The sequence below is a fragment of the Homo sapiens genome, chromosome 8, assembly GCF_000001405.40.
Source record: "Homo sapiens chromosome 8, GRCh38.p14 Primary Assembly".
NCBI lineage: Eukaryota > Metazoa > Chordata > Mammalia > Primates > Hominidae > Homo > Homo sapiens.
The window spans coordinates 89614910-89631791 of NC_000008.11; the positions used below are offsets into that span (position 1 = coordinate 89614910).

General features: G+C 36.7%; 1 long non-coding RNA gene across 1 annotated transcript; it reads right to left on the reverse strand.

The window, feature by feature from the left end:
* Positions 1-2019: 2019 nt before the first annotated feature.
* LOC112268015 (uncharacterized) lies at positions 2020-14150 on the reverse strand. The gene is made up of 2 exons (XR_002956661.2): positions 11561-14150; positions 2020-2247 (listed from the first exon to the last, which is right to left on the reverse strand). It is a non-coding gene; the product is annotated as an uncharacterized LOC112268015 (long non-coding RNA).
* Between the last annotated feature and the right edge of the window lie 2732 nt (positions 14151-16882).

Sequence of the window (16882 nt, forward strand, 5' to 3'; positions counted from 1 at the left end):
CATCTGTGTGAACAAGTAAGTGTAACTGCTGATACTTATCATTTGTTCAAACTACGCAATATCCAGACATTTCTTCAGAGTTCCTCAACTGCTTTGGTGTTTACTTGAAGCTAAGAAAATCCTTTCAGACTTTTTCTTTCAAGTCCTCCCACCCACGATACTAGCACAACTAAGGAACAAACTCCTGGCCTGAATTTGGCCATGTTCTCTCAGAACATTAAGTCTTGATAAGGATGACAATGGAAAGAGGAAAGAAAGAGAGTTCATTCTTACCAGCAATGGTTCTTGTGCAACATTACCCTGTAGTTTTCTCCAATCAAAAACTTCTGGCACTGCCTTTTCTCTTCTAAACCTGGTTCTCCAATCCTGTCTTCCTTACAGTCAGTTCCCAACATCCTTTCAATAAATTGTTTTTGTTATTAAATTGGCAAGTTTCTGTTGCTAGTCTAAACAGAACCTCAACTGATACAATATGCAAAAAGAAAAATAATATGAACCCATAATGAATTCTCAAAACATATTTAATGAAGAAATAATCAATATGCTAATGAATGAATAATCCCTACTCATATGTAAGGGTGTAAAATGTTTAATAGGCTAAGTACTACCTGAAAATACATTACAAAAAAAAGTCACAAGATAGTATATGATTAATCGCCAAATTAATAGCCCAGGCTGTACATGCTGAAGATCAGAGGAGAAAAACACAGCAAGCTTGAATGATCCAGGAAGCCTACATAACTTAATAAATACTTGTTGAATGAAGTCCTGATATCATTCCCTAAGGCAAACCTAAGGAAGCTAATGAATGTAACTTTCCTTCTCTCAGAGACATAAAGCCTGGGGTGTTCGAATGATTCAATACACAGTCATTTGAACTACTCTTCTTCAGAACTGCGCAATTCAGCAAAGGCATGTTACAGAAAGACAGGTTTCTGCCACAGTCGTCTTAAGTACTTTCAGTCAACAAGCCTAGATCAAGTGACCACAGGGTCCCAGGCATCAGTCGAGGTGCTAGGAACACATAGAGAAGTAAAATTCAGACAGCAGGAGTGCACCATCTAAGTGGAAACAGAGACACAGGCAGCATATTATGAAAATAGTGCATAATTGCAGATAGAGAACTGCCCAGAGATTGAGGAAGCTCTCAGAAGGGACACTTTATCCAACTTGAGGAGGGGAAAGCCTTTTGAAGGAGAGTTGACTAGCTAGGTCTTAAAAGATGGACAGACTTGACAAAGGAAGAGGCAGGAGAAGGGTATCCCAGGAAAAGAGGCCAAGATAAGCAAGATAAATAAGCAAATAACATAAGCAAAACCACCATGGTATGTACAGGTGTGATGTGAGACAGTCAGTGATAGGAGATCAGGTCCAAAGAGAAGCAGCAGATGGACCATGGAGGGTCTGGTTTGTGATAACTGGGATATAAAACCCTAATTGACTAGATCTGAGTCTCATGGACGCCTGTGGAGGCTGGAGAGGAATCAGTGTCACTCAAACCACAAGACCTGAAAGTGAGTGGGTTGATGCCTGGAGGATTATCTGGGAGCTATTAACAGAAGAGTGAATAGATGCCAAATGAAAAAGAGCTGATAATACCTACTAATATTTTTCCTAAATGGAAGACTAAAATGGCTTCCTAGAAATTGACTAGGCCTGAGATCTCAATAATAATAATTTATGTCTTTTACTCTTGAATAGTAATTTAAACTTCATGATGTGTAGGAACCTCTATAAATGTGCTGGACTATGAGCACCATAAGGGCAAGGACATTATCCGTATTACAACCACCATGCCTGGTACACAGCAGGTACTCAACTAAATTTGTTTAATAAATAAGTGAATTAATGCATATAATACCTCATTTCATGTTCACCATCAATTTTATAAGGTACAGGTTTCTAATTCCATTTCCTAAATAGATAAATTATGTAGGTAATTAATAAAATTTTGGTGAGGAAATATGTATTTCAATTATTTACTTTTATGGATATTGAATAAGAATAAATGACTCAAAATCGAGAAGAAAGAATTATAATTGTATTTACAAAAGAACTTCTTAATTCTAAGGTTTATAAAAATTAGAACTACTTTCCCAGAAAGGCCATAAATCTCCTACTCCAAAGATGTTTTAGGCCAAGTAAGATGTTGGTTTTAATGAAGCTTGCCTTCTTCAAAGCAGGGAGATGGACATGCTGAGCTTCAACAAATAGTCTATAATTTCTCTTATAACGCTGCAATGTTTCCTAGAAAAAGGAAAAGAAAAAAAAAGAACATCATTCTTAATGTCCGTTTTCTTTTGCTATAGCGACACCTACTGTTATTGCTGGTACTTTGTTTTTAAGAAAAATATGTGGAAAAATAACAATACATTTAAGCTCTAACAAAAGGCTGTGAATATGAATTTTTATTTTAGTGGTTAGGGATCTTTTCTAGCATCTCAGAAATGAAATATTAAAAGTAAAGATTCAAGGGAACTTGACTGTATGAAAATACAGACTTTATAGCTATCAGCATTCATCCATCTGAAGAAATACTCTTGATATATATAGATAGATGATGATCTAGATACAGAGATAGATATAGATAGATAGAAATATAAAATAATGTATGATAAGATCTACATAGATATCGATATCTATATATGAGTTTAGCTTTCCTACATGGTCTTCCATATTATCATAAAACTACAATAATAAGAATAAAATCACTCAATATGCATATTTTGAAGAGAACATTAGACTATGGCACTATGAAGGACACAAAGAAATAAAAGGATAGAGAGAAATATATAATAAGCAAGTTGGCAGATATTCTACACATATGCAAAAACAATATTAGAATATGAGTTTCATATATTAAATTCTACAATGATTTGAAAGGAATCACAACTTGCAACTTTGGTCATCACACAGGACTCAAAAATAGCTAAGAAATATGAACCATATTTTTGGTTATATTTATAGAGACAAAGAAGAACAGGGAGAAAATTCTGGGCGATGAGAGGAGTCAAGTTTCAAAACAAAAGTGTGAAGTCAAGACTATTCAGTATGCATTAGAGACCATGCTTGGATTAATTTGCTTAGAGCTGAGATCCTAGAGAACTTCTAGAGTGAGCATTGAAAACAGTGGATTCATAACTTATCATGAAGTGTGCTGAATGCCAGGCTAAAGACTTGGTCTTTCATTCTATTTAGTGATAAGATTTTGAAAGATTTTGATCACGAGGATGATACTATGAAAGTAGCATTTGGGGGATAACTTGGGTGAAAACATAAAGGATCATGAAAGATAGAGAGAAATATGAACAGCTGAAGGTTGCTGTACAGGGATGAGATTGTAAGAATCTGAAATAGGCTGGTTTTGTTGAAGGCAGTAAGGAAAAAGCATAAATGTGAGAAATGTTGCCACGATTAAGTTCAAAGGATTTGATAAATAGCAAGAATACAGGTGTTTGGCTTTAGTGTAGATGTAGGGTACAAAAAGCAAGTAAGCAAATAGAATAATGACTCAGATAGATCAGCTGTCCTGCAGTCTCAACCTTTCAGGATGGCACCCAATGGGGAGGAAGGGTAAGTACCTCTAGAAGAGGAAAAAAAAAATCACACCAAAATTGTTAAGAAGAGAAGAGCTGAAAATTACATAGAATATGCTATGATTGGTCGATTTGTTACATTAAATGAAAGGATACTCTCTCTAAATAGTTAGTAATGACTGTAAGAGCCAAGCCAATTTGTGCAAAATCCAAGCCGTCTGGACCAAGTAGCAGAAAAAAACAGAGAGAGAGAGAAGAAAAAGGAAAAATAAGCAAATGGCAAACAGCCAAGATGACAAGCAACAGAAGTGGCAGGGGAGAATAGAAGCATTGGAAGTGACAACAGCTGTCACTTTGACAAAAGAGAACAGAGTTAGCAATGGAGAGAGAGATGCTAGCACAACTCTCAACTCTAGCACGACTACAAAATTAAATGGGTATCATTTAATCATCATTATGATGACTGTTTACGTGAACAAAAATTAAGAACCCATGTAGTCATAAGTTCAGATTTAGTTCTGAATGCAACAGACAGAATGCTAGAGATATAGACATCTAGGAATGGGGAAATGAAAAAAATTTAGTGGAAAGAAAATCCAAGCCATGTAAGTCATCTCCCAAGGCCCTTGCCATCTGTCCTATGGAAATGTATTCCTCTAGACTTCCCCATGGTTAGTCCCTGCACAAATATCACCTTCTTGACTTCACCAGCTAAATTGACCACTTCCCCACACAGGTTCTTTAGAGAACTTGCCACTACCTGAAAATATATTTTTGCCCTTATTTTTCAGTATTTTATTTTCTGCCTTGACCTGGAATGTAAGCTCCATATAAGCAGGCACATTTCTGTCTTTTTTTTTTTATCATTGCATTCTATAGCATTGAAAAATGTCTAAATATTTGTTGAATGAATGGATGACCATATTTTCACATTGATGTTCTAAGATCACACGGAACTGGCTGAAACTCTGACTTGGCTGTCTATAGGTTTATAGTAGACACTCTTTCTTCCCAGAATATTTTGGAAAATGTCCCATCCCCAGTCTCAGTCCAAGTGGCTCAGGAGTCTGACCCCAACTTCCAGCACCAAGGGTGACATCTATTACAGGATGTGTTGCTCAGAGAACACAATCACCCTGGTAACAGTGGATTGTTCATGGATTATCTTTGAACCCAAATCCAGTCAATTCAAACTCATCCCCAGGATTTTTTCCAGAGCTATCCAATCAGTCTGTATTCTGGGGTCTCTAGAAGTAGAATGTAAGTGTAAAGCAACCAGCATTGATTTTTGCTACTGCATAGGAAGATGCTGCCAGAAAAAGAATTCAACTAGGAGGGAAAGCTGAGAAATGTTAAATAAAAGACAGAGAGAGAAAAAAAATTTCTGATGACATGGTTTGAATCCCTAGATCCAAAGATGCCAAAATTTTAACCTTTTCTACTTTCCATGAATATGAGACAATCAAAATTCTTATTTAAGCTAGTTTGAGTTGGATTTATCTCACTTGCAATAGAGTCTGGTTAGTGAAAATTGTGAGAGATCAAGAAAATCTCATTTCAGTTACAGTACTGAAATATGGCTGATTGATGGACAATTAGGGAGATATAATACTGCAACCATGTCTTAGTCCAATGAGGTTGTTATTACAAAATACCATAAACTAGGTGGCTTATCAACAACAGAAATTTCTTTCTCACAGTTGTGGAGGCTGGGAAGTCCAAAATCAAGGCAAATTCAGTTTCTAGAAAGGGTCTGCTTTCCGGCTTATGGAGAGTACCTTCTTAGTGTGTCCTCACATGGTAGAAAGGGTGAGTGAACTAAGGATACTAATCCCATTTTTAAGGGCTCTACCATTGTAACTTAATCACCTCCTAAAATCCCCTAACACCTCCTAATACTATCATCTTGGGGTTAGGATTCCAAGACATGAATTTGGAGAGGAAGGATATAAATATTCAAGCCACAGCAAAGTGTATACACTGATGCTGTCATGGAGAGAGCCACGAAGACCCTAGCCTGATTCACTGGGCCAATGGCATATCTTTGAAACATCAGGAACATTGTCTATTTATACCCTGAACTAATCTACCCAATTAATAAATCACAATTAGGTACAGACAACCTCTTGAAGTGTGAATTCCTTCTTTCATAAGCTAAGAGCAAAGAATAAAGCTTTAAAAAGTTATATTCTCTCTGAAAGAGAAAATGACTGTACATAACTTGAAAAGAGCCAGACCTGGAAATGGCTAATGGATCAGCATGGTGTTCAATCTTCCACATTATTTGACATCAAAAGGGCAGCTGGTCACAGTATTTGTCATTTTTTAATCAACTACATATCATTGAACATGACTGTACCAAGCAATTAGGTGAGCAGTTCTCAGTGAAAAGATGAATGTATTTCCTTACCATGTGTTCAAAGCTACCTGAAAATAAATATGTGTATATTGAGCAAATGCAATTCATTCATTGACAAGCATTTTCTGATGATTAATTTGATATTTCAAAATAGAACACATCAGAGAAGACAAACAGCAACTTGAAAGAAAATCTGAAAACTTTGAAGGCAAAGAACTATAGAGTTTTTCCAATAGATCCAGATTGAGGCCAAAACCTCACTCATCCCCTAAAATCCAGGTCAAATGTCATTTCCTCCAAGATGCCTTCTTGGTACCTTCCCCTAGGAGGGGTGATCTTCCTTTCAATCATGTTTTGTCCCTAAATCTATTATAGCACCCTCCACAGTACAGTAATTCTTATGTTTCCCCATTTACTTCCATTGCCCCAACAGCCAAATTGTGACCTTCTTAAAAGCACATCCCTGTAAACCTAGAACCTAATACAAACCCTAGAACTAGGCAGATGAACAGTGTGAAAACGACAGCCAAATGAAGGTGTCCAGTCTTTTTGAAGGGTTCTACCTTGCTGTTCATAAGAGTCTACTTTGGCAAAACCTGCCATTATCTAGACAGTGAATCAAGTTCACCTAGGTTTTAAGGGAATAAAAGGGAATTGATTGTTCTAGTATTTGCAAATCTTAAATTTCTTATAACTTAGAAAATACCATCATTTTAAAGCTTCCAAAGATATTTTCTCCTTGTTACATACAGAATTTGAGCTAATTCATGGATGAATGAAAAACACTTTCTGTATTTTTATCATCATTTCATACATTTAGTGAAGGTTAATTTCTGAACTATATGCTTAGCTGAAGACAGCAAAGCTATTCTACTGCTATAATATTGAAGAACTCACCCTGAGGAAGCAGGGTTACTAGCTGTTAATATTTTTAGCATTTTCCTCTCTCCATTGTTACCTCATTGATTCAACTAATGAACCAGAATGTTTTTCAAAATATGAAATGTTATTAAGCAGAGTTCTGAGGGAAGCTGATTCACCTGAAGAAATATCAGAAGAGCTCTAAACTCATTACAATATTAAAGATGCAATTTCTGTGATACTGCTTATACCTAGGATTCTATTCAGAGTCAAGTGTTTTAGAAAACTTAGAGGAAAGTATGACCTGAGGTCACATTTGCAGAATTGTCAGTATAGAATAATGAGTGGTTACGAGCACAGGCTTTGAAGTTGGCATACCTGTGCTTGAATCTACCACCTGTAGGTATGTAACTTGAACTTTATCTCTCTAAAACAGCAATCAAATAATAATACTGACCTCCTAATTAAATTAGGTAATACATGTGAAATAGAGCATTCAATATGTATTCAGCTAATACTATTAATGCTATTATGAATATTAATACTATTGTTATTAATTTCTGATTATGAAGAATTTTTAGGCTTTCCTCAACTGATGCTTGAGTTCTCCTAAAGAATGCATTCTGGCATATACATTAAAATGATAAGGATTATTCCTCCTTCACACCCATCAATAAACTACAGACTAATGAAATAAATTATAATTTCTGAATTAGTTAATAATAAGTAATATAGAGTTGGATAACGTTAAGAGATGAAAAGATGCGGGCATCTATACTGAAGAGGAAAAAAAAGGGTTTTCTAGAAGATGAGGTAACCACTTGGTAGAAGGTTCTTCAGCTCAGAAATGCAGAACAGAGCTGAGTGAGTGCTAACTCCAGCATTGCCCTAGAACTTGCTTTCCTGAAAGATTAACTAATGCGAGCCTGTGTGCATGTGTGTATATATGCACGCACACACACATGCATGCACGTTGAATAACTCCATCATTTTTTCATAAAAGAAATGTGGATTATACAAATACAGGACTCCCAGGTAGGGTTGCCGAATTTAGCAATTAAAAACACAGGATGCCCAATAGGATTTGAATTTCAGATAAATAATAGATCATTTTTTAGTACAAATATACTTTATGCATACCCTCTACACCGGGTTGGCATCCTGAAAGGTGGGGTTATTCAACATCAAATTAATATGATTAGTCCTGCCACAGAACCACTGGTAGAAGAGAATAAAAGATTATGAAAGCACCCAATTAAATGAGACTTCCCAAGAAGAAGTCATAAAGAGTTAGGGACATAACCACCATAGCACCCTCAGCTAAAAAAGGTTGCATAGTGTATTAGTCCATTCTCACACTGCTGTAAAGAAATACCTGAGATGGGGCAATTTATAAGAAAAGGGGCTTATTTGGCTCACAGTTCTGCAGTCTGTACAGGAAGCATGGTGGCATATGCTTCTGGGGAGGTCTCAGGAAGCTTCCAATCATGACAGAAGGCAAAGCAGGAGCAGGCACATTGCACGGTGAAAGCACGGGCAAGAGCGGGGTGGGAGGTGCCACACACTTTTAAACGACCAGATCTTGAGAGAACTCACTATCATGAGGACAGTACTAAGGGGATGGTACTAAATCATTCATGAGAAATCTGCCCCATGACCCAGTCACCTCGCACCAGGTCCCACCTCCAACATTAGGGATTACAATCCAACATGCAATTTCGGTGGGGACACAGATCCAAACCATATCACATAGATATTCTAGAACATTACCTCTACATTGTGAGAGCACAGATACCATGGAACTTTATGATTTAACTTTCTGGTGCATAGTGGTTCTTAGTAAATGTATTTTATTCAATAATTAGAAACAAAAGCAACATCAGATTTCCAGATTAGTTCATTTCCCAAAGTAAATGGCAGTATACTCTTGTGTTCAATTGGTACTGAAAAGTTGGAAGTTGTTAAAGGAAAGACCCTTAAATTCACTCCCTGCTTTCATATCTTTGTATGAAGCTTTTAAAAATAATTCTCTTATCTATATCTAAGCCTCTTTGTACCTAGCTATTGTATGATTAAAATCTTTCAAAACCATTTCCCCCAGCCCTTTAATATTCTAAGTGTCTCTGCAGAAGTCGAGCATATGCATTTAGAATTGAGATTAAATTCCCTGAATGCTTTTGGCATTGTGCAGCTCTGTCATTCTCATCAGTATTCAGCACCAATGTCAATGGATAAAGTAGTTTAAAAAAAAGTGAAAATATTGCAGCAACTGAATGATATGTGGGATGTGCGGCTGTAATAGTGACAGAGCTTGAAGCAGTCTTACTCGATATGACAGAGCATGTAATGCACCTGAAATTGGGCCCTGTGTAGTGACTAAGAGTTTCAATTTTCTGAGTCTTATAGAATTCTGTATTATGTTTGGCAGCTCTGTTTCACACCAATGGCTGGTTCCATAATGCTAACAAGTACAAAGAAGAGAAAATGTCACTTAAAAAAAAGGAAGAATACAAAAGTGTATGAAAGCTTCAAGCCCATAAAACCTAATTTCCTATGGGAAATTACCATTTTTCATATTGTTATGACATTTTCAGGATACTGCCACTGCAAAATTTGTTTCTTCCCTACGCATATATGGAAAAGGTCATTCAAGGGTGTAGACTGAGGGTGAAAAAAGAGTGAGGCAAGGTGTGGCCAGACCTGTCTGTGATCCCCCAGTGGCCTTTCTCTCTGTTGCCCTAACCTGCACCCCCTACATCTGTTGTTAAAAACCCAGGAATGTCACATTCACAGAAGAGAGTTTTTTTTCCCAATCAAAGATGAGTTTCTAGCAAGACTGAAACAGATGACCTGTCTCATTGGGCATTCCCTCCATCACTCCCTGGCAATATCCATACAGAGTGAGGAATTAAGTTGTACCATTCTGCATATAAAAATGAAAATTCAGCTCACTTTTTGATGGCTTTTCTCTGTCCAGTGTGGTTCTCGTTTCCTCCTTCCCTCCTCCCAAACCCCTGTTAAATTATTCCTGGTGGGGTTCCCCTGCCATCCCCCATGCCTGTAATGCAAAGGGTCCAGCCCCCTGGGCAGTGCATTGTCCTCCCAGCAGGAAGTTCCCAAAGACATGTGAAAAAGTAACAGGAATCAGAATCTTGTAGCCTATTTCATGCTGCCTCTGCCTTCTCTTCCTTTTCCAAATTTCTTCCTGCTTTGGCCAAATCTACACTGGCATTGTAGGTTCCCTTGTTTTCTTGCCTCCCAATTCAGCTGGTCTCCTTTTGTGCGTGCAGCCATTCGTCAAACTGATTAATTACTGGTAGCTACTCCTCTGACTCAGCCTTAGGGTCCTGTCTTCTAATTTGTTCTCAGAGGCAGCCCTAGGGAGAGTTTTCTGTCATTTCTTGAGTTTTATTCTCCTGGTCTCACCTTTCTGGTCCCAAGGACTAGGGTGAACACCTGTTCTCCAGTCCCGTGAATAATGACTCATAATTAGACAGCACTTCTTTATGAGGAGGTGGATCATGAGGTACCGAGCCCAGGCTTTGAAGTCAAGCAAGGGTTCAAAATCTTGACTTAGGCCCTAATTAGATGAATGACCTTGGCAAATTTACTTAACCTTCCTGATTGCCAGTTTCTACATCTGAAAAATGGGGATACTGCAGCTGTATCTATAAGGAGAGTGGTTAAATGAAGATTCAGATAGTACGTATTGGAACTATGCCCCTAAAGCTAGGTTTTCTCATTACAAAATTTTCTCATTATAAAATTTTATTTTATACCTTACTAGCTTTCACCTTCTTTCCTGCAAGAATGTGGGATTAGAAAGTTTCTATTGTCCATATGCCAAATATGCTGCTATTGTATACCCAGATAAACATATTTGGCAAGATTGTTGGCATACTCAGGGCAATTTAATGGGAAGAATTTATTATATTACAAACCATTGCCCCAAAGATGATAGTTGTGCTTATAAAATTCATTGGTCTCCTAGGCTTTCTGTGTTTATATTATTATTAAATGTAACTAAAATCTACCAACAAATAAAAGGTTATTTATTTTTTAAAAGGCAAAGATATTTTATTTAAAATGTAGACTGGTTGCTGCCTATGTGTTTGTTTATGTGATGTTCCATGGTCACTAAAGGCAGATGCACGATGGTAACTCGCTCTCTCATACTGCTATTTGCATCCCCATCTGTGCTACACAAATGGGCACAGTGGTAAAGTCATTTGGTAAGTCATGTTTCCACAGAAATTTGGGCCAAAACGTACATCAACCATACCATGTAATAATGATATGGTAATTGTTTCCACTCTTCAGCCACCAAAAAATTACCTTCCTTTAGTCCTTTCAAATGCTTAAGGGAATCCCATGTGTCTGGGTCCTAGGCACTTCTTACCAATGACAGATAACACCCTAAGAAAAGGAGTTATGGCCAAAAACCATGCACCATATTCCTTGCTGAAAAATCACTCCCAGAAACTTATTAGAAAGTAGGTTTTTCAAAATGGAAGTAATCTAAAATATATTGCCATCTTTACTTATTGAGGTTAATAACTATAACAAGCATAGACATTACACTATAAATGTTTATTTTTTATAAGGTTACTTCTATTAGTATTGATATCAACCATGGGTATTTGAAGACTTACTTGGTAAGGCTATAGAAGACAACAATAATATCTTCAATTATTGAACATGTAGTATTACATACCAGATATCTTTTAATGTGATCCTTACAACAACCCCAGTGTTAGAGATTATTATTTTTTTCCATTTTACAAATAAGGAAACTGAGACTTACAGAAGATACGTAGCTCGTCTTCACAGCTAGTGGTGAAATCCAATTGAATTTCAATTTTTAAAGTTAAGGTACAACTACTAATCAAAACATGAGTATCATTTTGTCATTTAGACAGCCAGTTCATCCTCAATGCTCAAGCAAAGATCAAATCTGAAAGGCCGTCAGGGGTCACTCAAATATATAAATGAATGTCTGCTGTTAAAAGAATAGAAAATGGTAGGGTTTGTGGCAGAACTAGAGTATGAGTCTTCTCTAAAGACATTCAAATTCAACATTTTTTACACTAGCAATCAAACTAAACACATCTAATGACTACATTCAATCCAGAGACAATGTGCTTAACATTTCAATCTCTAGACTAATTTAAAGGAAACATCAGCCTTGGAATATTTTCAGAACAAGCTATCTTGTTGAGAATTACTCACTCCCTGGGTGTCTCCCATGTATATGAGAAATATACATGTTAATGAACTTCTGTTTGTTTTTATTTTTTTAATCAGTCTTTCATTACAGGGATCCATTTCAACTAAGTCTAAGAATGTTGGAGAAAAAAATTATTATTCTTCCCCTATATAAATGTTCTACAGAAAGTAAAGCCTTCCTTCCTCCATTTTCCCGAAGAGAAATAATATATTTTATTTTAAATTAGACAAATTGAAAGATATCAAACAAATCTAGTCTGGAATCCCAGCACTACCATTTACAAGCTATATTAACCTAGACTTTAAACCCTCTGAGTCCCTGGAATGAACTTGGCAAGAATGTAAAGAAAGCACAACGAACAAGGAGGCAGCAAAAGGCAATAGGACTGCTGAGGTAGGTCCTGGACAGGTTATAAAGGTCCATCCTAAAGGGTTTGGATGATAGTCGAGGAATGATGTGAAGACCAATACATGCTGTAAGCAGAGGAGCGAGGTTGTGTGGGTAGGAACATTCCCTGAATTACAGTTTTATCAACCATTAACCCTAACTCTCCTGTGCATGGTTCTGAAATCTGTGCAGGGTACCCAAAGTTTGGAAGTGGCAACCATTTATTAACATCATTGCTCTCTATATCAGGCATTTGTAAGTGTGTTCTACTTAAATATACGGTCTGTGCTAGGTGATTCATTAAACCCGGCATTCATAAACTTATGATGCTGCGTATACTGTATGTAAATAATACTCAACATAAAGTGGAAACAGGAAAAAACACCTAAAGAAAACAAATTTTTGAAAATGTAAATAAGTAATCATGGTCTTTCATCCACTCTTTCTACATGCTGAGACTCCATTAAATGACTGATGTGAAAGAATTCTAATGAAATCTGCAACAATACTAACAAACACATGTACAATAGACTCCTTCAGTTTTTTTTAATGTGTGTTTGTCACTTCAAAAATATATCTTTACTACCTGAGGAGAAGTAAAATGAAAGAAGTTTGTCATGCTGCATGATTTTGAATTCTCAAATGTTTAGAATAAATTTATAATCTTGATACACTTTATTTAACTAAAGAAAGAAAACCATAGGCCTTAATAACAGGCATCAATGAATAGGAAACCAACTGCAAATTACCTAATTTGTTGGATTTGAAAGTATGGAAATAAGGGTAGTTTTAAAATCAAAGCTATTACATTAACAACACATCACCATACAAGAAAAATGTTGAGAGGTTGATCCCATTCCCACTCCAGCACGTACCTGAAACAGCTGTCCAAAGCAACACACAGTTTCAAGCGTTTCTAGAATGTGCCTCCATCTAGAATGTGCCTCCATCATTGCCCATTAGCAGGAGTTCTTAGGTGTCTGATTGGAAATGACCACCCCTGATGGAAGCCAACAACCTCTACAGAAAATGGAATACAGGCAAGGGGGATAAAGGCTAAGAATCTGATAGTGTTAGTTCTGTAGCTACACACCCACAAGCAGAGTCAAGTTCCTAGGACTCTTGAACAAAGCCACTTTGTAGCCAGGATTGAGAATCACAGGCCCAGAGGCAAATGACAGTACTGTGATCACAACTGGAACGTGCACTTTGCCGAACATGGATCACAGTCTTGAGAAAGAAAGCAGCTGGGGACTTTTGCATATCACAAAATATGCACCATTGATTAAATAATTTCTAATTACTTCCCGACCTATTGGGAGGGTTCTCATTATATTTGTTTGTTTTTAAACTTTTTATTATGGAAGCCTGCAAATCATATATGACAAGAGAATAGTATCCTGAACTCCCAATTCATGATCAATCCTGTTTTATCTGTTACCTTCTCCCCAACTGTAGCATTTTAAAGAAAATCTGGAATCCCAGCTCTACCATTTACAAGCTATATGAATCTAGACTTTAAACCTCTGAGTCCCTGGAATGAATTTGGCAAGAATGTAAAGAAAGCACAGTGAACAAGGAGAGAGCAAAAGGCAATAGGACTGTTGAGGTAGGTCCTGGACAGGAATGAATTTGGCAAGAAAGTAAAGAAAGCATTCTATCTGTTATCTTGCTCATGTTTATAAAACACAATAACTCCTTTTTTAAACATAAAGCTGGCTGGGCACGGTGGCTCACACCTGTAATCCCAATACTTTTGGAGGCCAAGGTGGGCAGATCACCTGAGGTCAGGAGTTCGAGACCAGCCTGGCCAACATGGTGAAACCCCATCTCTACTAAAAATACAAAAATTAGCCAGGCGTGGTGGCAGGTACCTGTAATCCAAGCTACTTGGGAGGCTGAGGCAGGAGAATCACTTGAGCCAGGGAGGCGAAGGATACAGTGAGCCAAAATCACGCCACTGCACTCCAGCCTGGGTGACAGAGAGAGATTCTATTAAAAAAAAAAAACAAAACCATAAAGCCATTATCAGTGTAATTAGCACATCATTGGGAAAATGTAAACTACATTACATACAGACCACAGTGGAGTACTCTTGCCCATGTGGATCTGGGTAATACCTTTAAGGCTTTATATGACCCCACTCTCCAAACTACCAAACAGGTTCTAAATTAATTTAACTTGTCCTAGAATGTATCTAGCCATAGTGCTTTTGAGAAACTATATTTTTGAAAGCTGATGGAAGACTACATATAACTGTATTTCAATCATTTTGGAAAATTAAAATGAAGACCCTTTCAGATGAGGAACTGAAGATCTGGTGTAGCATTCTAAGGTTTATAGGGAGATCAAATATCTCCATGGTTATTAAGTAGCGTTAAATAAAATTTATAGGAGGCCACTGGTTTGGACTGAGCTCCTGCACTAGATGAAACAGACCAAACCAAATCTAGTTACTCATCCTGAAGTTCCACACAACCACACCAAAAATAAGTTGTTTATCTGACCTTCCAAGAACCTGGGAGAGAGAATCCAAAACCCTAAGAACAGGTGGGTTTTAGCCAGCATGGTAAGGAAGTCCCCTCTAGTTTGAACTTTACAAAGAAAGTAACTTTGAAATGACCAATCCACTTTTTCTTCTCTGTTCCTGCTTTCCTCAGCCCTTTTCTGCCTGTAAAGCCAACCTCCTCTGCCCAGCTCATCAAAATACTCATTCTACTTTATAGAATGAGGTGTGCCTGATTTTAGAATTATAAACAAAAGCCAATAAGATCTTTACACTAAATTTGTGGTAATTTTACCTTTTCACAATAGTAAGCCTGAAGCTAGTGGTTATGCAATGATAAGAACATAATAATGGCTAATGTTTATTGAACAATCAATTTGTCCCATGCACTGTAGCCTTTACATATACTATCACATTTAATTACCAAAATGCCTTTCTGGTATATCATTGCACAAAAATACACGGTGGGGTGAATGTATATTACTGAAAATGCTTCAACCAGACATTGTATACAATTCCTAGGAAAATCCCAAAAACTATTAGCAAACATCTCAACACTCCTTGGAATTAAATATGATGCTGACTTAATACCATCTATAAGGTATATAGTTGTTATATATTTATTATTTAATCATCTCAAGTTGGAATTTAGTTTCTTTAAAAATCACATTTATATCATTAGGAATAATGACTTCATGTATGGTCCAATATGCACTTACACACATGGTGATTAGCCCATTGCTCTGAGCAGAAAAGGACAAAAAGACGGACTCAAATCATATTTGTTCATTCATTCACTCATTGATTCAGCAAGTCTTGCTAGATTTGCTGAATTTTCTCATTCTTTCAGCAAATATTACTAGAACTGTACTACTAAAAAGCAAGAGGAACATATCTGACTTCACTGTTATTATAAGCTTAGTGGAGGAACATAATTACCCACTGATGAAACATAACACTTTGAATTACTTTAAAAGTGCCTGAGGGAAAAGTAATTCCTCTATTAGACACTCAGGCAGTATCATACATTGCAAAACATAACAGTTGTTGGTTAGTTTGTGTTTGGCAAAAATAGCATTTTTCCTTGGCCATCTCTGAGTGTAAAATATACAAAGGAAAAATTAATGTGGTTCTTTCGCACTTTGTACCTAAACATGTGCGATACACACTGAGACATTTAGGAACATTTTTTCAAAGGTGTCTTTTAACTCATTTAAAGATAGGAACTCTAAGAATTAATGATATTATGTGAGACCATAATGAGACTAAAAATATTCATTTAGTACCATATCCTGGCACTAGCAATATGAGCAAGAGATATTTTATGGGTGAGCATGGTAAGTTGCCCTACATATCAGCCTCAAAAGGCTCACTTATTGTCTCAGCCTGAATGATTCGTATAACTATCTATTGTGTAAAGCAGCACTTGCTATTATTTGTCCTAAAGTGACCTCTTTCAAGCTTTAAGATTTGCAAACATCAGTATTCTAAAATTTGGTGTGCTCATTTGTATGTAAATTACATGTATTTGGTGTGCCAGTTTGTATCCAATTTGGAGTGTATTCAGCAAGTATATAGACTGCAATCATATTTCCTCCAAGTCATCACTATTTTATCAGTCCACTTGTGGAAATCACTCTAACCTTGATTGATTTGGTTCTTCTCTAAGCATTTCTTGTACTAGTATGTCTTTTTAAAGTGGAAGCTACCCTACACAAGTCCTTCCAAATGCACATAGTTCCAGTTTTTATTTAAGCTAGAGTAACGTTCAAAGAACTTTAGAAAGGATACGAAGACAGGGACCTAAATAAATAATTAAGATTGTTTACTACCACTGTAGTAAGTATTCACATTCTGTTATTCTAAAATATTCAAAACACAAACAGATCTTCTCTGTTAGAAGTTATCTCCCTGCTATACCGTAAACTCCTGAATAAAAGAAGCCATGTATATTTTTAACCTCCAGTTCATAGTTTAGTCTCAATATATTTTTATCAAGTTAAAGT